The sequence below is a fragment of the Homo sapiens genome, chromosome 1 (assembly GCF_000001405.40).
Source record: "Homo sapiens chromosome 1, GRCh38.p14 Primary Assembly".
In the NCBI taxonomy this organism is placed as follows: domain Eukaryota; kingdom Metazoa; phylum Chordata; class Mammalia; order Primates; family Hominidae; genus Homo; species Homo sapiens.
The window spans coordinates 211,829,429-211,856,078 of NC_000001.11; the positions used below are offsets into that span (position 1 = coordinate 211,829,429).

At 42.3% G+C, this 26,650-nt stretch overlaps 1 protein-coding gene and 1 long non-coding RNA gene across 13 annotated transcripts in view, besides 2 other annotated features; one reads left to right on the forward strand and one right to left on the reverse strand.

Annotated features, from left to right (window-relative positions):
- The window catches only part of LPGAT1 (lysophosphatidylglycerol acyltransferase 1), an 87,307-nt gene extending 85,972 nt beyond the window's left edge, over positions 1-1,335 (reverse strand). For 2 of the 10 annotated variants that reach the window (NM_001375841.1, NM_001375844.1), the window contains exons 1-2: positions 1,145-1,335; positions 755-902 (exon numbers count right to left, since the gene is read on the reverse strand). Coding sequence is in view for 4 of the 10 variants with exons in the window: in NM_001375844.1 (NP_001362773.1) it covers positions 755-826 (72 nt within the window). In the remaining 6 variants the exon portion in view is untranslated. Of the gene's footprint in view, positions 1-21; positions 911-1,144 lie in introns of those variants that run through there. The other 8 variants (XM_047436140.1, NM_001375842.1, XM_047436132.1 and 5 more) reach the window with 7 other exon arrangements.
- On the forward strand, positions 209-24,275 carry LPGAT1-AS1 (LPGAT1 antisense RNA 1). 3 transcript variants are annotated; one of them, NR_135820.1, is made up of 6 exons: positions 1,533-1,612; positions 1,828-1,984; positions 10,036-10,105; positions 22,093-22,178; positions 22,275-22,344; positions 24,134-24,275. It is a non-coding gene; the product is annotated as an LPGAT1 antisense RNA 1 (long non-coding RNA). The 3 variants fall into 3 exon arrangements; NR_135819.1 differs by lacking the exons at positions 1,533-1,612; positions 22,093-22,178; positions 22,275-22,344; positions 24,134-24,275 and adding exons at positions 418-490; positions 16,619-17,234 and having other exon boundaries at positions 1,817-1,984; NR_135818.1 differs by lacking the exons at positions 1,533-1,612; positions 10,036-10,105; positions 22,093-22,178; positions 22,275-22,344; positions 24,134-24,275 and adding exons at positions 209-375; positions 16,619-17,234 and having other exon boundaries at positions 1,836-1,984.
- Positions 760-1,519: a silencer, noted in NCBI's record as "silent region_1792". NCBI's record gives its function as "represses an Ori minimal core promoter by ATAC-STARR-seq in GM12878 lymphoblastoid cells {active_cell/tissue: GM12878}" and the evidence as "EXISTENCE:reporter gene assay evidence [ECO:0000049][PMID:35858748]".
- Positions 25,801-25,980: a silencer, noted in NCBI's record as "fragment chr1:212028571-212028750 (GRCh37/hg19 assembly coordinates)". NCBI's record gives its function as "represses an EF-1alpha promoter that drives an FKBP-Casp9 reporter gene in an ReSE screen in K562 erythroleukemia cells {active_cell/tissue: K562}" and the evidence as "EXISTENCE:reporter gene assay evidence [ECO:0000049][PMID:32094911]".

The window sequence follows — 26,650 nt, forward strand, 5'->3', positions numbered from 1 at the left end:
GAAGCTTTCCGGGTGTAGTACCTCGGTGATCTCTCAGGGGAAATTCCAGAGGGGGACAGAGAGCGAGGGAGGAGGAGCCGCACAAGGTCAAGGGAGCTGTTCACCGAGGCACGAAGTATGTCACAATATATTTAGCAAATGATAACACAATTCCCATTCAGTAATCGGTGGCCGTCCCCGCACCGTGTCTCACTGCGGTCGTCTATTGGACTTAGAAAAATAGATCCACTCGCTTCAGACAACCTCAGGATCTCCAAACTGAAGACACAAGTGACATGACCGAAACAGGGTCCCCTCAATAAGATTTCCCAGATACTGAGGACCTCAGTCTCCTCACCACCACGATTCCTGCACACCGATGCATTCCTTTAAAAGGTCTCTGGCTCTAGCGAAGAGTTACCCTCAAAATTCTCATTTGTAGCAATAGGGTTTTTGTTTCCCTTTTTTTTTTAAGAAAAAAAATGGGGGGCCTAGAAAAAAAGCTTACAAGGTGAGAGGAAGAAAGTAGGGGGTTATAATGCGAAAAAGAGGAAGGACAGGAGTAGGGGGAAGGGAGCAAAAGCCAGAAAGAGGTAAAAGCCAAGGAACTGGGGATGAAGAGAATGAGATTTCCGACCAGAGGGCAAGGAAGCAGGGGATGATGAAAGGGGCAGAGAAGAGGCGACCGCAGCGCGGGGAGCCGGTGGAGCCTGCAGCGGTTTCCGCGGATGTGGAAGGGTCGTGGCGGCGGGCGCGGCCCGCGCGCCGGGCTCACCTCGGCGGGCGCGGACGGCGGGCGGCTGCGGAGAGCGGGGGCGGGTGTCCCCCGCCGAGGGGTCGCGGTCATGGACGCGGTGGCGGCCCAAGCGGCCCGAGGCGCTGCGCGAGCGGGCGCGCTGGCGCCCTACTCCCCTCGCGGCTGCCTGCGGACAGAGGGACGGCGGGGACTCAGAGGCCGGACCTGTCACCCGGGCGGGTCCCGGGGAGGCGGGCGGATGCCCCGCGCCCCCGCCTCCTCCCCGGGGCCTACCGCGCCCTCGTCCCTCAGGCCGCTGCCGCCTCCCCGGGCCACGCGACGACGACACCCCCTTCCCCGCCCCCAGCGCCTCCCCTGGCCCGGCTCCGCTGCCGCTCTGGGGCCTGCGACCGCGGAGCCGGAGGTTACCTCGGGCTGGCCGGGCCCCAGCCGGGGCTTTGGGAGTCAGAGGAGCCGGAAGAATGCATGGCCGGCGGCGGGGCCGGCGGAAGAAGGCGGTGGCGGGGCCCTGCCCCGCTCCGGCTGTGGCGCGGCCCGCGCCCGTTCCCCGGCGGCGCCGAGACTCGGTCCCCAAGGGCCCGGCCGCGTTCGCCCGGACTGGCGGGGAGGGGCGGCGGGAGGAAGCGGCGGGAGTCGGGACTGCGGCGGAGCCGCTCCCACAGCGCCCTCTAATGAAAGCGCCGCCGCCGCTGCCTGGCCCGCTTGCCCCGCCTGGCCCGCTCCCCCTACCCCTGCGCCAGCGAGTCGGGGCCCTCGGGGCTACCTGGACGCTCGGCCAGGACCTCAGTGAGTCCAGAACATACTGAGGGAAAGGGCCGCTCGGAAAGATCTAGGAATGAACACCCATCCTCACACCCCAGGAGTGCCTTGGTTTCAGTTGAGAGCCCCCTTTCAGCCAACACGGCCGCCTTTCATTGTTAGGGCTCTCTTCTCTGCCCAAACTAGGAACCTGTCTCCTTGACGGCTAAATGTCCACTTTTCATTCTTAATGAAACCCGGTTGCACTCATGGCTTTTCTTCTTAACCTCTGCAGTGTATTATTGTCTAGAGTTTCAAATTCATTCTTTTTACGGTCAAAAGTCTTGTTTCAGGAAAGCAGCTGGAACATTAATGGCAATTCCACTTTCCCATTCATCGCCCCCGCCCCCACCACCCCACCAAGAAACTCAGTGGGAATGAATGGTCTACACAGAGAAACTGAAATCTGGTTAGTCAAGAAGGAAAAAACAACCAAGTGCCTGGCATTAAGTAAGTACTCACCCGCCCGCCCTCCCCCGCCCGCCATAAAAAGAAAAACCGAAAAGACAAAAAACAGTGGCCATGGGAACTCCTAGACAGACCCCGTCACTTGGGATACTATAGCTGCATTCTGGTTCAAAGGCTGGACCACCTGAAGGAAAATAGAGAAATAGTCCATTGACCTACCCCCTTGAGCATTCTTAAATGATCTGCCTAAATTTTAGTTTTTAAAAATCCTGTTTATAAAACCTTATGTCCCTTAAGCACATTTGTAAATGGAGGGGATGGGGCAGGGCAGATTTCACACTCCCTAGGGAACTGCCATATTTGAATCAGAATGCCACCTATTCTGCCTATTTTGAAAATGTTCATCACAGCGTTTGCTCTGGACTCTCAACTTTCTCTAATTTCAGTTCCTCTTAGGTCCACAGGTGAAGGAAAGATATGCCCCATTCTATTCCTTGCATTCTCTCTTTATTGACAAGGTAGTAAGATCTTTAAATAAATCTCATGAGAGAGATAATATATATACTTTATTATTCAAAATATGTCATTATATTCTTCAGTAAGATAGGTGAGGTACATATTTATTTCCACAATCAAGAATAAACTCTAAGGATTCCATCTGGTCCATGCAATTCAGCTTTCCCACATGCTGCGTAAACGTTGGCTGACACCTGGAGAGAGATAACCTACAATGGGATTTACACGTGATTCCTGGATCAGGGACCATCTGCCAGAGGACCAGACACAGCAGCACTTGATGAAATGCAATTAGTACCAGGCCCAGAATTCATTTTCAGGCTCAGAAAAGAGCCAGAGGTTGGGCAGGACCTCTGGCTCTTTAGTGTACAAAAACAACACTTGAAGTGTCTACCAAAGAGACAGATTCTTCAGCATCATACCAGAACATTTTAATAATCTAGGTCCAGTGGACCTGAGAACCTGCTTTTTAAAAAGCGTCATAGGTGATTCTGATGCAAGTAGTATGCAGACCTTGCTTTAAGAAACCCTGACTTAGAGGTATTCTGAGATGATCACATTCTCTTCTAGACCCTTCATAATTTTAAATCATTTGATCATATGTGTTCTCATGTGTGTTAGTCAGCTAGAGCTGCCATAACAAAATACTGCAAACTGGGTGGCTTAAACAACAGAAACTTATTTTCTCGAAGTTCTGAAGGCCAAGATCAGAGATCAAAGTGTGGGGAGGTCTGGTTTCTTCTGAGGCCTGTCCCCTCGGCTTGCTGATCACCATCTCTCATTGCAGAATTCTGCCATTTCAGTACCTCCTTATGGAAGGAGTAGGGAATACCTAATCTCCTTGATCTTTTCAGATATCCTCATATTAACTGCTTCCAACCTCATTGGACTTTTCTTGAAACTCAACCAACAGTACAACACATTATGTTCCAGGTATAGATATGCCCTGGTTTTGTGCCAAGAGTGTAGGAGAGGGGTTATCTTCTTAACTTTCTGACCACAATATCAGTTTCAAGATAATTCAGCTGCTATAATAGATAAGAAACTGTTAGGGCTGACTTCTTAAGGGAACAATTTCAGATGATGCTTGTGTTTATTTCTTGCATTTCGAAGTTCGTTTTAGTTAGTTTTACCTTCCTCTTGCCTATACTACAATTTTTTTGCCCTGCCTCCTTTCAACCACTTAGGAAGCCTCCTGAGATTGTTCCATAGCCTATTTTATTGCACCATGGACAGAGAGATGTATGAATGCTCTGAATGACTGTAACAGGAAGATTGGAACAGCCAGTTCTCCAGGGTAGACTGTTCTGTGGAAAACAAGGATCTTCTTCAATGACTAGTTAGCTTCTAGTCCCCTATCCTGCTACCTTAGAGCCATCTTTATCAAAACACAAACATGAAGCCAACAATTTCAACACCTTCATGTACACTCCAATAGAGAAAAGAGGGAAATGAACAGACCCCACCCTATAGCCACAGACATTATTGTTTCTGTTTCAAAAGCCCACATTTGAACCACAAGAGAATGGTCCTTTGAAAAAGAAAGAGGATTTCTTACATTTCTTGGAATCGCCAGTCATTTGAAAGCAATATAACCACAATACCTTAGAAGGTTGAATTCCACCCATCTAGTCCACATACACACAACAAATTAGGTTATAACCAGGGAGAGGTTCCCTTGGGCAGAAGAGTACCCCCTGGGCCCTCTCTTTTTCCTAGTGGCAATTATAAAAACATTTTACCTACCTGTGTTGGTTTCTGCACTAAAGCTCCAGTGAACTATTTCCTGTCTAGGGAGAAACCCTACCAGCAATAACCTTCAATGACTTGGCACAGGCCCCCTACATTGCTAGGAAACAGTTGCAGGCTTGAAATCAGCAGCCCAAAAGAGTCATGCATTCTGACTGTTGTCAGCTTTAACTTCAAACAAAAAATGGAAATATATATGGATGTTCTCTTCTATATTCATGTCAATAATTATTTTATATAAAATGCTCCAGGGCTTATAACCTTAAAATTTTTCAGATAGGGTGAGCCAAATCATCCACACTTGGCTGAGTGTGGTGGCTCACACCTGTAATCCCAACACGTTGGGAGGCTGAGTCAGGCAGATCACTTGAGGTCAGGAGTTTGAGACCAGCCTGGCCAACATGACGAAAACCTGCCTCTACTAAAAATACAAAAATTAGCCGAGCGTTATGGCACCCGCCTGTAATCCCAGCTACTCGGGAGGTTGAGGCACGAGAATTGCTTGAACCTGGGAGACAGAGGTTGCAGTAAGCCTAGATCATGCCACTGTACTTTAGCCTGGGCGACAGAGCAAGACTCTGTCTCAAAGAAAAAAAAAATCCTCCAGACTTGACTGCAACTCTCAGCCATTTCAGCAATTCTTTTTATTAACATGATTGACCCTAAACAATACTATAAAGTAAACAATTGTGTCTCCTCCATGCTCCTCTCCTGTTCGGCTAGCTTCTCTTTTCCCTTCTTAAGGCTAAAATTATCCCTAGTTTCCAAAGGGCCCTGAAGACTCCACATGAGGCCTCCCCCTGCTCCCCAAACAGATAATACTCTAAGCTAGAACCTTCTTTCTCACCTGTCCAATGTTATGTTTCCTTGGCTCAATCCTTATCTCCCCTTCCTGGTGTGGTCAGCTAATCCATGACAAGGGGCTTATGGCTAAAAAATGGAAGAGAGAACTCTCTTCCTAAAGCATTAGTATTTTATACAGAAACTAAAACCCCCAAAGCCTTAATGTATTTCTGCTGGCAGATTATCAGGTATTGTAATGGATGAGTATATTTGTAAGATGTTTTGGAGAAGGATATTTTGGCAAGTTCTTCTACTCACAGAACCTATAAAATCACATAGTACACCTATGAATAAGACATAGTTCACTCACTCATAGGTGGGAATTGAACAATGAGAACACATGGACACAAGAAGGGGAACATCACACACTGGGGACTGTTGTGGGGTGGGGGGAGCGGGGAGGGATAGCATTAGGAGATATACCTAATGCTAAATGATGAGTTAATGGGTGCAGCACAGCAACATGGCATATGTATACATATGTAACAAACCTGCACGTTGTGCACATGTACCCTAAAACTTAAAGTATTAAAAAAAAAAAAAGAATCCTAACATTTAGAATAGAATTTTAAAATGCCAAAAAAAAGCAAATTCAAAAAAAAAGACATAGTTCAGATTTAAACTTGCATTTTCATAACATAAGATTCAAAATATTACGTTAAAATAATAATAATCACTGGCACTTATTGATCACTTTCAACAATCCAGGCCATGTTCTTGGTGCTTTACATACATTAATTCATTTAATCTTCACGATGACTTTTTTTTTTTTTTTGAGACAGGATCTCGCTCTGTCTCCCATACTGGAGTGCCGTGGCCTGATCTCCGGCTCACTGCAACCTCCACCTCCCAGTCTCAAGCAATCCTCCCACTTCAGCCTCCCAAGTAGCTGGGACTACAGATGCATGCCACCACGGCCAGCTAATTTTTTTGTATTTTTTGTAGAGACAGGGTTTTGCCATGTTGCCCAGGCTGGACTTGAACACCTGAACTCAGGAGATCCACCTGCCTCAGCCTCCCAAAGTTCTGGGATTACAGGCATGAGCCACCGCACCTAACCCACAATGACTTTAAAAGGACCGTATTGTTACCCACGTTGTACAAATGGGGAGATTAAGCTATTTGCCCTGATTTCTACCCTGTTCCTCTGTCCTCACCTGCATCTCCAGGAGACCACTGAATCTCACATCTCAAGCTTTCTTTCATGTTGTAACTTCAAGTCCTATCATTGACAGCAAGCCCCTAACTTCTGGAAACTTTTATCTCCTAAGTACCTAAGTTTCTGAATTTCCCCACAAATATATATATATATATATATATATATATATATTTTTTTTTTTTTTTTTTTTTTTTTTTTTTTTTGAGGCAGAGTCTTGCTCTTTCACCCAGGCTGGAGTGCAGTGGCGCAATCTTGGCTCACTGCAAGCTCTGCCTCCTGGGTTCACGCCATTCTCCTGCCTCAGCCTCCTGAGTAGCTGGGACTACAGGCGTCCGCCACTATGCCTGGCTAATTTTTTTGTATTTTTAGTAGAGACGGGGTTTCACCCTGTTAGCCAGGATGGTCTTGATCTCCTGACCTCGTGATCCACCCACCTCAGCCTCCCAAAGTGCTGGGATTACAGGCGTGAGCCACCGCACCCGGCCCCCAACAAGTTAAAAAAAAAAATAATTGGAACATCTTTGTTCTAGTGTTGGGGTGGTGTAATTTAGTGGTATTTGACAAGAGAAAGGAATTTTTTTTTCTTTTTTGTAGAAAAGGAAGACAGGGCGGGATGTGGTGGCTCACGCCTGTAATCCCAGCACTTTGAGAGGCTGAGGTGGGCAAATCACTTGAGTCCAGGAGTTCGAAATCAGCCTGGGCAACATGGTAAACCCCATCTCTACTAAAAATACAAAAATTAGCCAGCTGTGGTGGCACATGCCTGTAATCCCAGATACTCAGAAGACTGAGGCATGAGAACTGCTTGAACCTGGGAGGTGGAGGTTGCAGTGAGCCAAGATCATGCTACTGCACTCCAGCCTGGGTGACAGAGCGAGACTCTTCTCTCAAATCTCTCTCTCAAAAAAAAGAAAGAAATAAAGAAGGAAAGAAGGAAGGAAAGGAACACAGAGTAATTCCACTTATGAACGGGGAAAATAAGTTGTGGAGAACTTATGCAGCTTGTTCATCATAGAGTAGACCAGAAATCAAGTTGGCATGGTATCGAGGTGACCAGCTCATCCTGGCTTACCCAGGACTTTACCCATAGTTTTACTATTGAAAGTCCCGCATCCCAGGAAATTCCTCAGTCCTGGCAAATGGTTGGTGGCCCTACGTGTGGTCTCCTGACTCCTGGGTCCCCATACAGTCCCTTAGGTTACAGAGATCCAGCCTCCCTGCTCCCCTCCCTCCCCACGTTTTGATCTGCTCTACCTATTCCCTGATGATCTGATGTATCAGAGATTAACAAGACATTCAGGGTTGATAGTGGTGTTTAATGTTTCCTCTAAACCATATTAGTTGTCCTTACCTGGGTTAAATTTCCCCCTCTTATCCAAGCCTTCTGTCGTATAGCTTGGCTCTTTCCATGCTTCTCATCACATCGGCTTAAATCGTAAGGGATTTGAGCAGAACTTTTCTCTCTGTTCCTACTCCAACTGTATGTTTAAGATTAATTTATCATTTTGGGGCTAAGCCTATTGGCTAATACTCTGTTGTAATGAAAGTCATGCCACCTTGCATTTCTCCAGTGCTTTTCAGTTGACAAAGTTCTTACACACACACACACACACACACACACACACACACACACACACACACACACACAATCTTGTTAGATGCTATCAATAACTCCCTTAAGTAAGCAGGTACTTATTGGTTAAAAGAAATAAGAATAAGGTTAAGGAAAGAATTTCTTTACAAGTGATTTTCTCTTGAAATGTCTTCAAGAAATATTTTATGAAACACAATTTCAAACCTTTTGTTTCTCTTAAATTTTATCTTCAAAGCATAAGCTGAAGTAGAGATCTGAATTAATTTGGAACCAGCTGCTGGGAAGCCTACAGCCATGAGAAATCCCAAAGTGGGGCGGGGGAGGTTCTCCTGCTCTAAGTGCTATGAATCAAACAAAGCTATGGGCAAAAGAGTGATGCTAAAATGCTGCAGCTTAAAGTATGGGATTTAAAAAAACTTAGAACCATTCAAGTTATATTAATACATTGTTCAGTTTCTTAAGTTTTGGTAGTTTCAGTTACTCCATGTTATGCTGAACTGAATGGCATTATTTCGAAAAGCTGCCTACTCATAAACAGGCCTAATCATAAAAATCATCTAGGGTTCTTTTTAAACTCAGATATTAGTGTATATGAAGATCTACTAGAGAGTTTGCTAAAATGCAGATTCTGGGGTCCCATCTCAGAGATTCTGATCCCATAGGTCTGAAGTGAGATCCAGGGATCTTTTGCTTTAAAATGCATCTTCATGTGATCTGGGGCAGATAATCTGAGGATCTCCACAGCCTTGCTATTTACATCTGCCAACATTGGCATCACCTTGGATATTTTATTTTATTTATTTTTTATTTATTTATATTTAAGTTTATTTATTTATTGAGACAGGGTTTCACTCTGTTATCCAGTGGTGTACTGGAGTACAGTGGTGTGATCTCAGCTTACTGCAACCTCTGCCTCCTGGGCTCAGGTGATCCTCCCACCTCAGCCTCCCAAGTATCTGGGACAACAGACACACACACTACCATGCGTGGCTAATTGCATGTTTTTTGTTGTTGTTGTTTTTTGTTTTTTGTTTTTTGTTTTTTTGGTAGAGGCAGGGTTTTGCCCAAACTGATCTCAAACTCCTGGCCTCAAGCGATCTTCCTGCCTTGGCCTCTCAAAGTGCTGGGATTACAGGCATGAGCCACTGCACCCAGCCCCACCTAGGATATTTTAGAAATACAGAATCTCAGGCTCCACCCTGGATCTCCTGAATCAGAATCTGCATTTTAATAAGATTCCTAGGTGATCTGTATGCATATAAAGTTTGAGAAGTAGTGCCCTACAATATAGCAAATACCACCACATCGATTCAGAAATTGAAACCAAGTGAGAGCTCTAAGTGGATAACCTGGAACAATGGGGGCTTTCAACATGTACTTAATGGTGGAGTGTGATGGCTCCCACCTGTAATCCCAGCACTTTGAGAGGCCAAGAGTTTGAGAACAGCCTGAGCAACATAGCGAAATCCTGTCTCTACAAAAAATTAGCTCAGCATGGTGACATGCACCCGTAGTCCCAGATACTGGGGAGGCTGAAGCAGGAGAAGTGTTTGAGCCTAGGAGTTTGAGGTTGCGGTGAGCCATGATTGCACCACTGCAGTTCAGCCTGGGCAACAGAGGGAGAACCTGTCTCCAAAAACAATAAAATAAAATCAAACATGTACTTAATAAATATTCATTAGGTGCCTGTATTTTCACAAGAGAAGGGGAGAGGGACTACACAAGTCCCCTGGTGTAAACTAACACTGAAAAATCCTGAATAAAGCAGTGTTCCACATAAGAATTAAAGGAGTTAAGTAAGGCTATTTTATATATTAATCAGTAAGTATTTATTAGGTGCTTGCTATGTACCCACAACTTTGCTTTTTCCATTCTATTTGGGGGACAGAAAGCTAACATAGAGGAAACTTTTAGAGGATAACCTCCTCTAAAATGAGCTAATCAGTAAAGTGTGGGTAGAATTTATGTAGGTTGACAGGAAGCCCTCCCAAGTAGGAGAAAAAGCAAGGAGAGTAAAATAGAAAATGAGTTTGATATGTCTGGGAAACAGAGAGGTGAGTGGCCCATTGTGGCAATGGTTTAAAATGACTGAGAGGTGGAAAACTAGAACATTATGTAGGATGAAACTAAATTGTAGATAATTTTGAAAGTCATAAGTAGAACCTGCTCTAGCGTGTGTTTGGCAGATGCTGTTATTTCCCCTAATGTCCATTCTTTCTTTCTTCCTTATAGGAGGATTTTTTTTTTAAGCTCAGCCTATGGACAACAAAAGCATGGACTGTATTTCTCAGCATCTTTTGCAGTAAGATCTGATCATATGATTATAATCTGGCCAATGAAATATAAACAGAAGTGTCAGCTGTGACTTCTCTAGGGTATCCTTAGAGGATGAGGGACACATCTTCCTTTTTCCTGTTAACTAAATAGGGATGAGGAAACTGGAGCCCAGGTAGCCATTTTGGACCTGAAGGTGGAAGTCAAGCTAGGGAGAGCAAACAACACGTGTGTGGATCCCTGATGATCAGGTCATCCTAATCCTGAACTGCTTTCCTCTGGTCTCTTTAACAGGAGAGACCAGAGGAAAACCATGAGAGAGAGGTAATTTTCTATCCCACTTAAGCCACTATTGTACTTTGGACTTTCTTGTCATGTACAGCCAAGCCTAATTATAACTAATAAAACATGCAATTGAAAGACAAAAATGCAAGGGTTTATGCATCAGGTACCATTCTGGTTGCATCTCTTACAAACTCTATGTGGTAATGGATTAGTTACCTAATCTCTTTAAGCCTTTGTCTCCTCGCATGTAAAATAGGAAGAATGTCCCTCAAGGGTGATTGTGAGGTGCAAATTATATTAAATTTATAAAGTATTTAGCACAGTGCTGGTGCATAGTATACTCTTAATAAATGTACCTTTTCTAATTATATACAAGGGCAGATCAGCAGACCAGTATGGGACACAGTGATATCTGTGGAAATATACAGGGCATCCACATCTATAAGATTACCATGACACTAATGGGTATTATGATTTGGAAGGTGAATAGATTAGAGGCAGGGAAATGCTTCAGAAATCTCAAGTCTGACCTGTGACATTAGCAGTGGAACTGAAGTGGATATTTATTGAACCCCTTTTTATATGTGCCAGGCACATTCTAGGAGTCAAATCCACAGTGATAAACAAAACACACATGGTTCTTACACTCAAAGAGTTTACAGGCTGGTATGGGAGTCAGACATAAAACTACTAATGGAAAATTATAGAATGACAAACTGAGGCACGTGACCTGAGGGAAAGGAACAGAATATTCTGAGAGCTTGTACTAGAGGAACCTAATGTAGTGAATTGCAATTAAGCTGGGATGTGAAGGATGAACCTGAGTTAACTAAGAGAGGCAGAAAGTACATCCTCTGAAGGGAAATGAAGGGCAAAGGCCATGTGGTGAAAAAGATCACAATGAATTCTCAAAATTAAGATAAAACCAGTGCACCCACAGTGGTGAGTCCAAGGGGATCCTAGTCTGAGATGAGCTGGAGAGGTAGGCAAGAGATACACTCTATGGGGCCTCACAGACCATCATAAAGGGTTTTATTCCAAGGATGACTGGAAGGTGCTGGCAGGTTTTGAGCAGAATCCTGGGGTGCCCAACCATCCCAGTTTGCCTAGGACTGAGGGATGTGAGACTTTCAGTGCTAAAATTGGAACAGCCCCAGGCAAACCAAGGGATTGGTCACCCTCACAGTTATATGATCTGATTTTTTCCTAAATATTACATTTTGGCTGTCTTACAGAAAACTAGCTGTAGGAAGGAAGGAGTGCAATTGATAAGACAGTTAGGAGATTATTGCAGTATCCAGACAAGAGAGGATGGTAGCTTGGGCTAGGGTGATGACGGTGGAGTTGAGGGAAAAAGGATGGGCTTGAGAGAAATTTAGGGGTAAAATTGGCAGGTCATGGTGAGAGATGGAAATGCTGCTTCTAAGACTGCATGGATTAACTCAAGTACAAGAGTGAGATCTGGATTCAAATTCTACATAGGACTACTCTAATTTATTTACTCTTGAGCACTAAAACACTGGGGTCTATATAAGAGGATTTTTCTTTATCCAAAGTACAAGCATACCTCTGAGATAATGCAATTTTGGTTCCAAACCACTGCAATAAAGCGAGTGATAAAATATTTTTTGTTCCCAGTGCATATAAAAGCTATGTTTACATTACGCTGTAGTCTATTAAGTGTAAAGTAGCATTATGTCTAAAAAATTTTAAAATACTTTATTGTTGAAAAATGCTAACAGTTATGAGTCTTCAGCAAGCTGTAATTTTTTGCTGGTGAAGGGTCTTGCCTCCATGTTGATGGCTACTGGTTGATCACAGTGATGGTTGCTGGAGGTTGAGGTGCTGTGGCAATTTCTTAAAATAAGACAGCTATGAATTTTGCAGTATTGATTGACTCTTCCTTTCATGAAAGCTTTCTCTGTAGCATGCTATGCTGTTAGATAGCATTTTATTCGCAGTGGAATTTCTTTAAAAATTGGAGTCAGTCCTCTCAAACCCTGACGCTGCTTTATCAACTAAGTTATGTAATATTCTAAATCCTTTGTTGTCATCTTGACAATGTTCACAGCATCTTCACCAGGAGAAGTAGATTTCATCTCAAACAATTACTTTCTTTGCTCATCCATAAGAAGCAATTCCTCATCCAATCAAGTTTGATCATGAGATTGTGACAATTAAGTCACATCTTCAGGCTCCACTTTTCATTCTAGTTCTCTTGCTATTTCTACCATATCTGCAATGACTTCCTCCATTGAAGATTTAAATCCCTCAAAGTCATCCATGAGGGTTGGAATCAACTTCTTCCAAACTCTTGCTAATGTGGATATTTTGACCTCCTCCCATGAATCACATTCTTAATGGCATGTAGAATGGTGAATCCGTCCCAGAAGATTTTCGATTTACTTTTCCCTAATCCATCAGAGGAATCACTATCCATAGTAGATATAGCCTTATGAAATATATTTATCTTCAGTAATAGAAACTGAAAGTCAAAATTACTCCTTGATCCATGGGCTGCAGAATGGATACTTTGTTAGCAGGCAAGAAAACAACATTAATCTTCTTAAGGAAAGAAGCCATTTCCATAACATAAAGTGCAAAGTGAAGCAGCAAGTGCTGACGTAGAAACTCCATCTGATGGAACAAGAGCTCCATCAGAGCTCTTGGATGATCAGGTGCATTGTCAATGAACAGTAATATTTTGAAATGATTTTTTTTTCTGAGCAGTTAAGTCTCAACAGTGGGCTTAAAATATTTAGTAAGCTATGCTATAAATACATGCACTGTCATCCACGCTTTGTTGTCCCATTGATAGAGCACAGAAAGAGTCAATTTAGTGTAATTCTTAAGGGCTAGAATTTTCAGAATGGTAAATGAGCATTGGCTTCTGCCCAGTCATCAGTTACATTAGTCCCTAACAAGAGCCTTAGTCATCCTTTGAAGCTTTGAAGTCAGGCATTGACTTCTCTCTAGCTGTGAAAGTTCTAGATGGCATCTCCTCCCAATATAAATCTATTCTGTCGACATTGAAAATCTAGGGTGTAGTGTAGCCCCCTTCATCAATCATCTTAGCTAGATCTTCTGGATAACTTGCTACAGTTTCTACATCAGCACTTGCTGCTTCACTTTGCACTTTATGTTATGGAAATGGCTTCTTTCCTTAAACCTCATGAACCAACCTCTGCTAGCTTTCAACTTTTCTTTTGCAGCTTCCTCACCTGTCTCAGCCTTCATCAAATTAAAGAGTTAGGGCCTTGCTCTGGATTAGACTTTAGCTTAAGTAAATGTTGTGGCTGATTTGATCTATCTAGACCACAAACTTTCTCCCTATCTGCAGTAAGCCTGTTTTGCTTTCTTATTCATGTGTTTACTACAGTAGCACTTTTAATTTCCTTCAATAACTTTTTCTTTGCAGTCACAACCTGGGTAACTGGTGAAAAAGGCCTAGTTTTTGGCCTGTCTTGGCTTTCAACCTGCCTTCCTCACTAAGCTTCATTATGTCCAGCTTTTGATTTAAAGTGAAAAATGCAACTCTTCCTTTCACTTTCACTTAGAGGCCATTGTAGGTTAATTGGCCTAATTTCAATTTTGTTGTGCCTCAAGGAATAGGGAGGCTCAAGGAGAGGAAGAAAGATGGGAATGGCCAGTTGGTGGAAAGAACAGAACACACACATTTATCGATTAAGTTCACCCACCTTCTATGAGCAAGGTTCTTGGAACTCCAAAACAATTACAATAGTAACATCGAAGATCACTGATCACAGATCACCATTACAGATATAATAATAATGAAAAGGTTGAAAATATTGTGAGGATTCCCAAAATGTGACACAGAGACAAGAAGTGAGCACATGCTGTTGGAAAAAATGGCACTGTTAGACTTGCTTAACACAGCGTTGCCACAAACCTTCAATTTGTAAAGACTTGCTCAACACAGCGTGGCCACAAATCTTCAATTTGTAAAAAGCACAATATCTGCAAAGCACAATAAAGTGAAGTGCAATAAAACGAGGTATGCTCAAATAAACTATCTGGTCTGAGCCTTGGTTTCCGAAATCAAAGGCTATAAAGAAAAGTTATGTCTCTTTAACTTGCTGCCTTTAGGCATTTCAACCACCTCAGATCACTGTGTTCCCCAAGGAAATTGATCTTCTTTGTAGCCTAACAACCATACCTAACCCCACACAGATTCGCTATAAATGAAGCCAAGAAAATCTTTCACCTAGATATGCTCTAAAATGTTTTTTCCTCCTGCTAGTAAGTGTTCCAGTCGTTTCCATGAGCTACTTATCTAGGTTTATTGGTATGAGAACTGTGCTTCTGGCTGTACTTGCAAATATTCATTGGTTCTATCAGATTTCTAAACTCATGCACTAAACATAGTGAAGGAAATTATTGTTTACTTATGGTTGTCATTGTGGTTTTGTAATAACCTTAACATTCTTTGAATATTTTTCACCTTTTTAATAGGTATAACAGTGTATATGAGTGGACTGCAAAAAGTTCTTAGAAAAATGGAATTAAAAGATAAAAATAAAAAATATAAACTTTATTTCTCAACGTAAGCTCCATCACATTCAAGACACTTTTATCAGTGATGATGCCAGCCATTTTGTCCATCTCTAAAGAACTGAGGGTCCTGGGAACTTAACCATGTCAATGCAGTCTTTTTACTTTACTAACTGAAGAAAATGGGTGCCCTAAGATTGTTAAAGATTAGGAAACAAAAACAAGTCAGAAGGAGCCAAATCAGGACTGTAAGGTGGATGTCTAAAGATTTCCCATCAAGGCCGGGTGTGGTGGCTCACGCCTGTAATCCCAGCACTTTGGGAGGCTGAGGCAGGCAGATCACCTGGAGGTCAGGAGTTTGAGACCAGCCTCAACATGGAGAAACCCCGTCTCTACTAAAAATACAAAATTAGCCAGGCATGGTGGTGCATGCCTGTAATCCCAGCTACTCAGGGGCTGAGGCAGGAGAATTGCTTGAACCTGGGAGGTGGAGTTTGCGCTGAGCCGAGATCATGCCATTGCACTCCAGCCTGGGCAACAAGAGCGAAACTCCATCTCAAAAAAAAAAAAAAAAAAAAGATTTCCCGTCAAAACTCTCACAAAATTGCCCATGTTTGATGAGAGGAATGAGCGGAGGCATTGTTGTGGTGGAGAAGTACTCTCTGGTGAAGCTTTCCCAGGCATTTTTCTACTAAAGCTTTAGCTATCTCTAAACATTCTCATAATAAATAAATGTTGTCATTCTTTTGGCCCCCCAGGAAGTCAACAAGCAAAATGCATTGAGGATCCCAGGAAACTGTTGCCATGACCTTTACTCTTTTTTTTTTTTTTTTTTTTTTTTTTTCAGATGGAGTCTCACTCTGTCACCCAGGCTGGAGTGCAGTGGTGCGATCTCGGCTCACTGCAACCTCCGCCTCCAGGGTTCAAGCAATTCTCTGCCTCAACCTCCTGAGTAGCTGGGATTACAGGCGCCCACCAACACGCCTGGCTAATTTTTTTTTTTTTTTTTTTTTGGTAGAGACAGGGGTTTCACCATCTTGGCCAGGCTGGTCTTGAACTCCTGACCTCATGATCCACCCGCCTCAGCCTCCCAAAGTGCTGGGATTACAGGCGTGAGCCACCATGCCTGGCCTGACCTTTACTCTTGACCAGTCTGCTCTTGCCTTGACTGGACCACTTCAACCTCTTAGCAGCCATTGCTTTGATTGTGCTTTGTCTTCAAGGTCATACTAGTAAAGCTGTGTTTCATCTCCGGTTACAATTCTTCAAAGAAATCCTTCAGGATATTGATCCCACTTATTTAAAATTTCCATTGAAAGCTCTGCTCTTGTCTGCAACTGTTCTCAGCACAACAGTTCTGGCACCCATTGAGTGGCAAGTTTGCTCAACTTTATTTTTTTTTTGAGACGGAGTCTTGCTCTGTTGCCCAGACTGTAGTACAGTGGTGTGATCTCGGCTCACTGCAACCTCTGCCTCCCAAGTTCAAGCAATTCTCCTGTCTCAGCCTCCCCAGTAGCTGGGACTACAGGCACATACCACCACGCCCGGCTAATTTTTGTATTTTTAGTAGAGACGGAGTTTCACCATACTGATCAGGCTGGTCTCAAACTCCTGACCTCACGTGATCCACTTGCCTTGGCCAACTTTAATTTTTCAGTCAGAATTATGTAAGCCAAACCAATTGCGATGTCTATGGTGTTGGCTATTGTTTGTGCTGTTAATCATTGGTCCTTTTCAATTACAGCTTGAACAAGATTATTTTTTCCTTGAAAATTGACATGGATGGTCTGCCACTGTGGGCTTTATCTTCAACATCGTCTCACCCTTCTTATTAATAACACAAGTTATCCACTTGTAAACTGCTGTTTTTTTGGGGCTATCCACTTGTAAACTGCTGTTTTTTTGGGGGCACTGTCACCATAAACTTTTGATAAGGCATCAGTGATTTCAACATTCTTCACCCAAGCTTCACCATAAATTTGATGTTTCTTTTTGCTTCATTTTAGCAGAATTTGTTCCAATAGGGGCTCTTTTCGAACTGATTTTTTTTTTCATTTTTTTCCACTGGGATTTTGAGAAAATCAAACTGATAGCCTTCTTAGTGCCTCAAACTAGATCCTGTTCAGACACAAACAAGTTAGTATGAGTTTGTTTCAGTGAAAAAAAAATTTGAAATTCATGCATAGTTTTTCATAATGTGAATTTTTCATGAACTTTTGGAAGACCTTTTGAATACTTTTTTAATTGCAGCACTCTTTTGCACCATAAAACTAATTGGTGGCTTTACCATTAAGAAGTTGAGCCAAGCAAACAATAATGAAAATGCTTTATGTGGAATAAAAATTTACACTTAAATGCCTTTTTTGCTTCCTTTTTCTCCGTTTATATTTAATCTATTTAATCTATATTTAATTTAATATATTTAATCTGTAATAAGCCCACAGGAGCACTTCTTTGTACTTTTTACATCAATGAAGTACATATATGTTTTCTTTGCAACATAATAATTAGCACATCTTAATTTTATTATGTATTACTATAAAAGAGCCCAATTTCATCCTGCAGCATTTAGTCACTTTAGCTTGAATTAACTTTATTGTAAAATACATGAAAAATAATGTGAATGAAATAATTCTGAAAATCTTATGATTGTGACCAGTATACATTTAGATTACTTGGGAGTCAAATGCATATATGGCAACGGCAGATATGTTTCTCTCTACTTTTAAAAGGTAGTGATAAATCCTGCCTCCAGCTCTGGCATAATTGATTAAGTCAAAAAGCTAAAAGGCTGCCCCATCATCTAGGGGCTCCAAAGAAACAGATTTAGGAATTATATGGCATCCACTCTCAGGGTCACCTTGGACCTGGTCACCACCCAGAACTGCTTTGATTATGACATCTTAAGCTCCATTATTTAGGCCTCTGACCACAACCTCCTGGTCTTCTATTTCTCACTCCCTCACTGCTGCTACCTTGAAACACCCCACTCTTCTTTCTCCCACTCCCTATCTCTCCTCTGGGCTTTTATTACCTCACTTGTCACTTTAATAACTCATTATTTCCTTCAACTTACCTGTTCCCTAGTCTATTTTTTTTGAGACAGAGTCTTGTTCTGTTGCCCAGGCTGGAGTGCAGTGGTGTGATCTTGGCTCACTGCAACCTCTGCCTCCTGGGTTCAAGAGATTCTCCTGCCTCAGCCTCCTGAGTAGCTGGCATTACAGGCACACGCCACCACACCCGGCTAATTTTTTGTATTTCTAGTAGAGATGGGGTTTCAACATATTGGCCAGGCTGATCTCAAACTCCTGATCTCAAGTGATCCACCCACCTCAGCCTCCCAAAGTGCTGGGATTAGAGGCGTGAGCCACCGCACCCTGCCTCCCCTAGTCTTTATATTACACCTGCCCCACAATACGAGGGATGGCCTTGAATCCATTTTCTTTTTCTGTCATACTCATATACAGGATGTTGGGCTCAGTTGAAAAAAATCACACAACTCTGTACAGAAGGGCAACACAATACAACATGGCTTCCAAACTCGATTAGGCCCTGAGTCACTTGGAAAGCCTTTTATAGCTCCTTGATCAGCTTCCCATCCCATTTGTCTCTTTTTCTTTTTTATTTTATTTTTTTTTTTTTTTTGAGACGGAGTCTCAATCTGTCGCCCAGGCTGGAGTGCAGTGGCGCATCTCCGCTCACTGCAAGCTCCGCCTCCCGGGTTCACGCCATTCTCCTACCTCAGCCTCCCCGCGTAGTTGGGACTACAGGCGCCGGCCACCACGCCCGGCTAATTTTTTTGTATTTTTTTTTTTTTAGTAGAGACGGGGTTTCACGGTATTAACCAGGATAGTATCGATCTCCTGACCTCGTGATCCACCCGCTTCCGTCTCCCAAAGTGCTGGGATTACAGGCGTGAGCCACGGCGCCTGTCCTGTCTCATTTCAAATACAATGTCTTCTTTACTTTAAACTTCAATCTAAATTTTCTCCCCTCAGTCTCAACAAAAGGACTTGTCTTCTGACCCCAACTGGAAAGCTATTTTCAGCCATCTTTATGAGCTTTTGATCAACTAGGTAAGTTGTAATTCATGCATCTTAAGACACATTAAGCAAAAGAGTTACTAGGAGTTTCCTCTGATAGAGTTTGGCAGGGCACGATGGCTCATGCCTGTAATCCCAGCACCTTGGGAGGCCGGAGCAGAATCGCTTGAACCTGGGAGGTGAAGGTTGCAGTGAGCTGAGATGGCGCCACTGCACTCCAGCCTGGGCAACAGAGCAAGACTCTGTCTCAAAAAAAAAAAAAAAAAAAAGAGTTTGGATATTTGTCCCCACCCAAATTTCGTGTTGAGAGGTAATCCCCAGTATTGGGAGGGGGGGGCCTCATGGGAGGTGTTTGGATCATTGGGGTGGATCTCTTATGAATGGCTTGGGCCATCTTCTTGGTGATAAGTGAACTCTCACACTGTGTTCACGAGAGATCGGGTCTTTAAAAGTGTGTGGCACCCTCCCCCACCTTGCCTGCTCCTGCTTTTGCCATGTGACGTGCCTGCTCCCCTTTTGCCCTCACCATGATTGTAGGCTTCCCAAGGCTTCCCTAGAAGCCAAGCAGATGCCAGCACCGTGCTTTCTTAAAGCCTTTAGAAACGTGAGCCAATTAAACTTCTCTTTATAAATTACCTAGTCTCAGATATTTATTTATAGCAATGTAAAAATGGCCTAATATATCCCCATTTTGCATTACTTTTTTTTTTTTTTTTTTTTTGAGATAGAGTCTCACTCTGTTGCCCAGGCTGGAGTGTAGTGGCATGATCTCAGCTCACCACAACCTCCACCTCCTGAGTTCAAGAGATTCTCCTGCCTCAGCCTCCTGAGTAGCTGGGACTACAGGTGCATACCACCAAGCCCGGCTAATTTTTGTATTTCCAGTAGAGACAGGGTTTCACTATGTTGGCCAGGCTGGTGTCGAACTCCTGACCTCATGATCTGCCCATCTCAGCCTCCCAAAGTGCTGGGATTACAGGCGTAAGCCACCGCGCATGGCCTTGTATATTTTATTTGGAGAAATCTCTATTGAGATGCTTTGTTTTAATTGGATTATCTTTTTATTGTTGAGTTGTAATATCTTATATATTCTAAATGCGACTTCTTTATCAGGTATATATGGCAAATATTTTCTCCCATTCTGCAGATTTTCTTTTCACGTTGTTTTCACATTCTTTTCTTTCTTTCTTTCTTTTTTTTTTTTTTTTTTTTTTTTTTGACAAGGTCTTGCTCTGTCACTCAGGCTGGAGTGCAGTGGCACAATCACAGCTCAGTGCAACCTCAACCTCCTGGGCTCAAGCTATCCTCCTACCTCAGCCTCCTGAGTAGCTAAGACCACAAGTGCACACCACCACACCAGGCTACCTATTTTTTTTATTTTTTATTTTTTTGGTAGAGACGAGTTCTTGCTATGTTACTCAGGCTGGTTTTGAACTCCTGGACTCAAGTGACCCTCTAATCTTGGCCTCCCAAAATGCTGGGATTACAGGCGTGAGCCATCACTCCTGGCTTCTTTTCACCTTTTTGGGGGTAAAGCACAAAACTAATTTTAATGATGTCCAATTTATATTTTGTTGTTGTTGTTTGTGCTTTTGGTGTCATATCTAGGAAGCCATTGCTTAATTCAAGATCACAAAGATTTATACCTACTTTTTCTAAGACTTTAAGTTTTAGTCCTACATTTTGAATAAATTTTTATATATGGTACAAGGTTGGGAGGTATCCAACTTTATTCTTTTGCATATGGGTATTTAGTTTTCCCAGTACCACTTGTTAAAAAGACTACCTTTTCTCCATTGGATGGTCTTAAAACCCTTGTCAAAATTCATTGACCATAGATGTGAGGGCTTATTTCTGGTCTCTCACTTCTTTTTTTTTTTTTTTTTTTTTTTTTTTGAGACGGAGTCTCGCTCTGTCGCCCAGGCTGGAGTGCAGTGGCGCAGTCTCGGCTCACTGCAAGCTCTGCCTCCCGGGTTCACGCCATTCTCCTGCCTCAGCCTCCCAAGTAGCTGGGACTACAGGCGCCCGCCACTATGCCCGGCTAATTTTTTGTATTTTTAGTAGAGACGGGGTTTCACCGTTTTAGCCGGGATGGTCTCGATCTCCTGACCTCGTGATCCGCCCGCCTCGGCCTCCCAAAGTGCTGGGATTACAGGCGTGAGCCACCGTGCCCGGCCCGGGTCTCTCACTTCTATCCGTTAATCTGTATGACTGTCTCTCCTTATGCCAGTACCATACTGTTTTGATTACTGTAGCTTCATAGTAAGTTTTAAATCAGGATGTGTGAGTCCTCCAAATTTATTCTTCTTCTTCAAGATTGTTTAGCTATTCTGGGTCCCTTGAATTACCATATTAATTTTAGGATCAGCTTGTTGATTTCTGTAGAGGCCAGATGGAATTATGATAAGGATTGTGTTATATCTATAGTGCCCTGGGGAGTATTGCCATCTTAACAATATTAAGTCTTTTCATTCTTTTGTCTTCTTTAACAATATTTTGTAGTTTTCAGAGTACAGGTTTTATACTTCTTTTATTAAATTTATTCCTAAGTATTTTAGTCTTCTTGATGCTGTTGTATATAGAATTGGTTTCCTAATTTCATTTTCACAGTTTTCATAGCAAGCATATGGAAATATAATTAATTTATGTATATTAATCTTGTATCCTTCAACTTTGCTGAACTCATTTATTAGTGCTCATGGTTTTTAAGTGGATTTCTTAGGATTTTTTATATAAGATTATGTCACCTGCAACCTGAAGGTTCTTATGGAGGATTACAACAACTGTGCTGTCGTGGGGCTAAGCTGGGGGTGCTTCATCAATCTTTTCAAAATAGTGGTGTGTTTTTTGCCGAAAGCTTTTCATTTTTCTCATTAGAAAAGATGAATCTCTCAACAAAAATTATTACTAACTCTTTATATATTACATTTCAGCTGGCCACCGCTGAAAAAACACGTTTTTACTTTTTACTGCAAGGGTTGCACTTATCAATCTGCACAAACACATGAAAGCACATGAGGTCATGATTCCAACAAACTTTCAGTATTGATCTCTTTTATTCAGGAGGCATTGTGGTTTATGGAAGAGCTTGGCTTGTGGAATTGGGAGGCTGGTTTTCAATCCAAATCTATCCATATTATCAGTGAGACTAATGCTCACCCAACTCAATTCACAGGCTTATTGTTGAAAGTCCAGTGAGCTACCTCAGGCTTTTCTCTGTGGAATGACTGTTGCAGAGAACTGCACCTCAGAAGAATGGAGGTACCAAAAGAGGCTGAGCTGTACCCTGGGCAATGCTTACTTTTTATTTTAGTCAAGTCACTTCCTGGGTTTCATCGGGGACAATTCCTTTCCTAGTTTAAAACTGTGATGACATTCTACCTCATTGAAGAAATCCTCCAGTGCCAAGGGTGGATCTCTAAAGAAGGTATACCCATATCTCACCCAGCTTGGTACCTGCAGGCTGAAGAGTATCTAAGGTTCTGCAATGGGAAAATCATAGTAGTGCTCAGGAAGAAACAACAGGCTGTATAGCCTTATCTTAGTCACAGAGCCAAGGCTTTGTCACCAGGATGGAAGATTAGCAGGGGGAATTTTATGCCTATCATAATGTTCATTGTATTAGCTGCACCACTCCTTCCTTCCTTAATATGCAATTAAAGGCTGACTTTAAAAGAGATAAATAACATGTCAATTTTATGATAGCCAAAGCCAATAACCTTACCATGTGGTTTCCTAGCAAGGCTCAAAAGCAGAGTGGCAAAAGTATGGCCCTAGAGTCAGATTGTCCTTGGGTTCCAATCCTGGCTTTATCCCTTAATAGCTATATGACCTTGGCAATGTATGTAATCCCATTTCCTTAACTGTAAGGAGTATAATTATAGCAATTCATAGGAATTATTGCAAGAATTGAATAAAATATATATCGTTCTTACCACATGATAAACACATGATACATTTTAGCTAGTAGTAGTATTCTTCAAGGCATTTAGTTGATTAAGCTAAGAAAATGCATTGGCTTGAAGGAGGGCAGGTGGACAATTAGAAAATTTTTTTTTCTTTTTAAGATAAAAAATTTAAAAGATAAGAAATGGAATAAAGTTTAAAAGGTTTCAAGTTTTAAAATCTTTTTCAAAAAGAAAAGAAAATGCATTGGCCAGTGAAAGCATTATAATTATGATTCTTTCGTTTGTTTCTGAGACAGGGTCTCTCTGTGTTGCCCAGGCTGGTCTTGAACTTCTGGGCTCAAGGGATCCTCCCTCCTCGGCCTCCCAAAGTGCAGGGATTACAGGCGTCAGCCACTGTACCCAGCCACATTATAACTGATTTTTTTTTTTTTGAGACAGAATCTCGCTGTGTTGCCCAGGCTGGAGTGCAGTGGTGCAATCTCAGCTCACTGAAGCCTCCGCCTCCCGCGTTCAAGCAATTCTCTTGCCTCAACTTCCCAAGTAGCTGGGACTGCAGGTGTGTGTCACCACACCCAGCTAATTTTTGTATTTTCAGTAGAGATGGTGTTTCACCATATTGGGTAGGCTGGTCTTGAACTCCTGACCTCACGTGATCTGCCCACCTCAGCCTCCCAAAGTGCTGGGATTACAGGTGTGAGCCACCACACCACAACTGATTTTTAATTGAAGTACACTCCCAATGTTTTTCAAACTTTAGTATACATTAAAATCACCAAGAATGTTTTTGTAAATGAAAATTTCCAGGCTCTAACCTCTCCTGTCCACACTCCCTGAATTTCTGATTCAGTAGTCAGTGGCAGGTCCCATGAATCTGCATCTGTAGCAAATACTCCAGTATTCTGATTCAGGTGATTCATGGATACTTTTTAAAATTAACTTTTAATTTTGATATAATCTCAAATTTACAGAAAAGTTGGAAAAACAACCCCAAATTTTTCACATATGCTTTACTAAGATTCATCAATTTTAAATATTTTGCTATATTTGCTTTATCAATGTTTGTCTCTGTCTATAAAAATGTTTTCCTAAATTATTTGAGAGTAGGTTGCATATCATCTCTATAGCCTTTAAAACTTCAGTGTATATTTCCTAAGAATAAGGATATTCTCTTTACATAACCACTGTTCAGTTATTAAATTCAGTGAATTTAACATTAATAAAATACCTATATCTAATATATAACACATATTCCAATTTTATTGATTGTCTCAATAATGCCTTTTATAGCTACTTTTTTTTCCCGTACAGGATTCAATCCAGGATCACATCTTATATTTACAATAACATGCCTTTTTTCTCCTTCAGTCTGGAACCGTGTCTCAGTCTATCTTTGTTCTTTATGACATTGACATATTTTAAAGAATAAAAGCCAATTCTTTTATGCACCATCTCTTATTGTGTGTTTGGCTGATGTTGTCTGTTGATTAGATTCAGGTTATGCATTTCTGACTGGAATCATACATAAATGATGTCCTTTTCAGAGTGTTGTCTCTGGAGACACATGATATCCACATGATATCTTCTTGGAGAGACAAACCACACTTAAGAAATATTTGACTACTTCGAGAGATATTTGACTTGCCACTTTCTGCTCCAAGAGGCCTCAGAATCTAAAGTAGTCAAAAAAACAAGACTTCTCTCCTGAATGTTCTGATTGATTGTAATTTGTTAAGGGGCTTATTTAACCATTGCCTAATTACTTTAGAATATGATCACATATTAACCACAGCTGCTATTACATTCAAAACCACAACACACCTTCATATTTATTAATAACTTATGCAGTTTCCCACCTTTCCCCCCAACCATTTCATTCTTAGTAACTCTGGATCATAACATTTATTTCATGGTTAATACAGGTAATCTATGTGATGTTTCATATGACATGACTAAATCAGTTAATGCATATGTCAGTTATGTCATATGACATAACTAAATCAGTTAATGATGGTATTTTGAAGCTAGTAGAAACCACTTAATTCCTTACATCACACATTTTACAATGTGTAAGCTTCCTCTTCAATGGTGTGTTTGGAAATATTCACTTATTTTTTGTTTAATCCTAAAATATACTTATCCATGAACTGCAATTTATATTTTATCATATCACTTAAATTTCCCTGTAAAATTTTTAGCCAGCTGCCTCAGTGTACCTACTGCATTGCAGACTATATATTTCTCTTGGAATTCAGTCATTCATTTACCTGAAAAAGTTCAAAGACTGAAGAAGAATATGATTTAAGTCTTAAAGAAGCTAGCATTTATTGAGTACTAGCTTTATGCCAGCCACTGTTGAAATGGGAATTCCCTTGTCCCCCTTGCAGGGCGTGCGATGGGAGTGTGGCTTGCTTCTTCAGTGCACCACTGCACAAACTTCTAGGGGAGCATACAGACGGGCAGGCTGTGGGGCTCCAACCTCAAGGCAGTGTCCAGCAGTGAATGTTTACAGCTGAAGCCCCAGTGGGTGTGTGTTACAGGGTGCTCTTTTAGTTTTGCCACCTATAGGCGGCTTGTGTTAACCGGCTCAATTAGACCCTCTAACTTGTCTCAAGGACAGAGGGCTTTCTGTATCCTGGGTTCTTGCCTTGGTGTACTGGATGAATTGGATCACACGTGGGCTTGGAGAATGAGTGCAAGGTTTTATTGAATGGAAGTAGCTCTCAGCTGATGGGGGAGCCAGAAGGGAGATGGTTTTCCCCTGGAGTCTGGCCGCTGGGCAGCCCCAGATCTCCTCCAACTGCCCCAGGCAAACCTCCTTCTCATCCCGCCTGTCGATGGCCTATCGGCATGCCAACATCTATTGATGTGCTCTTCTGCCAGCATGCTCCCCTTGACATCTTTTCACCATCCAGCCACTTGTGTCTTCTTCCACTGACGTGCTCCTCTTGATATCCTGCCGCCTGTGTCTGCCTGCTAGGGTCTCGGGAGTTTTTATAGGCACAGGATGGGGTTGTGGCAGGCCAGGGTGGTCTTGGGAAATGCAACATTTGGGCAGGAAATGCCTGTCCTCACTTAGGTCCATGGGGGTGGAGCCCTAGCCAGGGACGAAGCCCTCCTCTACCTAGCACTTCCCTTCCCCCACGCCCATTCCATATCCTTTAAAGGGTCCATGCTCTTCCCTTCCCAGCACTTCCATACCACTATTACATATTACCTCACACCAACCAGAGAGGAATGTTTTTGCTACCACCATTTTGCAGACAAAAGAACAGAACTAAATAATTTGCTTAACACCAAACAGCTAACAAATGATACAACTAGGATTTAACCCTAGGTCTGATGAACTCTGAATAAACTCTTTCTGGCTACCTCCCATAAAATCGCAATGGTAAGGATAGAGTGAAAAGATTAAATTCACAAATTTCAGAATTCCATAATTAGGGCATGCAATCTAAAGTCAGATGAAATGGAAATGCAACTTAAAGTCAGATGAAAATATTACCTTACTAAATGGTCAGGAAATGGTAAGGAATTTTTTTTTTTTCAGTTGCAAGATTTAATAGAGTGAAAACAGAGCTCCCATACAAAGGGAGGGGACCCAAAGAGGGTAGCCGTTGCCGGCTCGAATGCCTGGGTTTATATCCCAATCATTGTCCCTCCCGCCATGCTCTCAGGCAACAGATGATTGGCTATTTCTTTACCTACTGTTTTTGCCTAATTCGCATTTTAGTGAGCTCCCTTTACTATCTGATTGGTTGGGTGTGAGCTAGGCTAGGGATTCTTAGTCGGCCTAGGAAATCCAGCTAGTCCTGTCTCTCAGTTCCC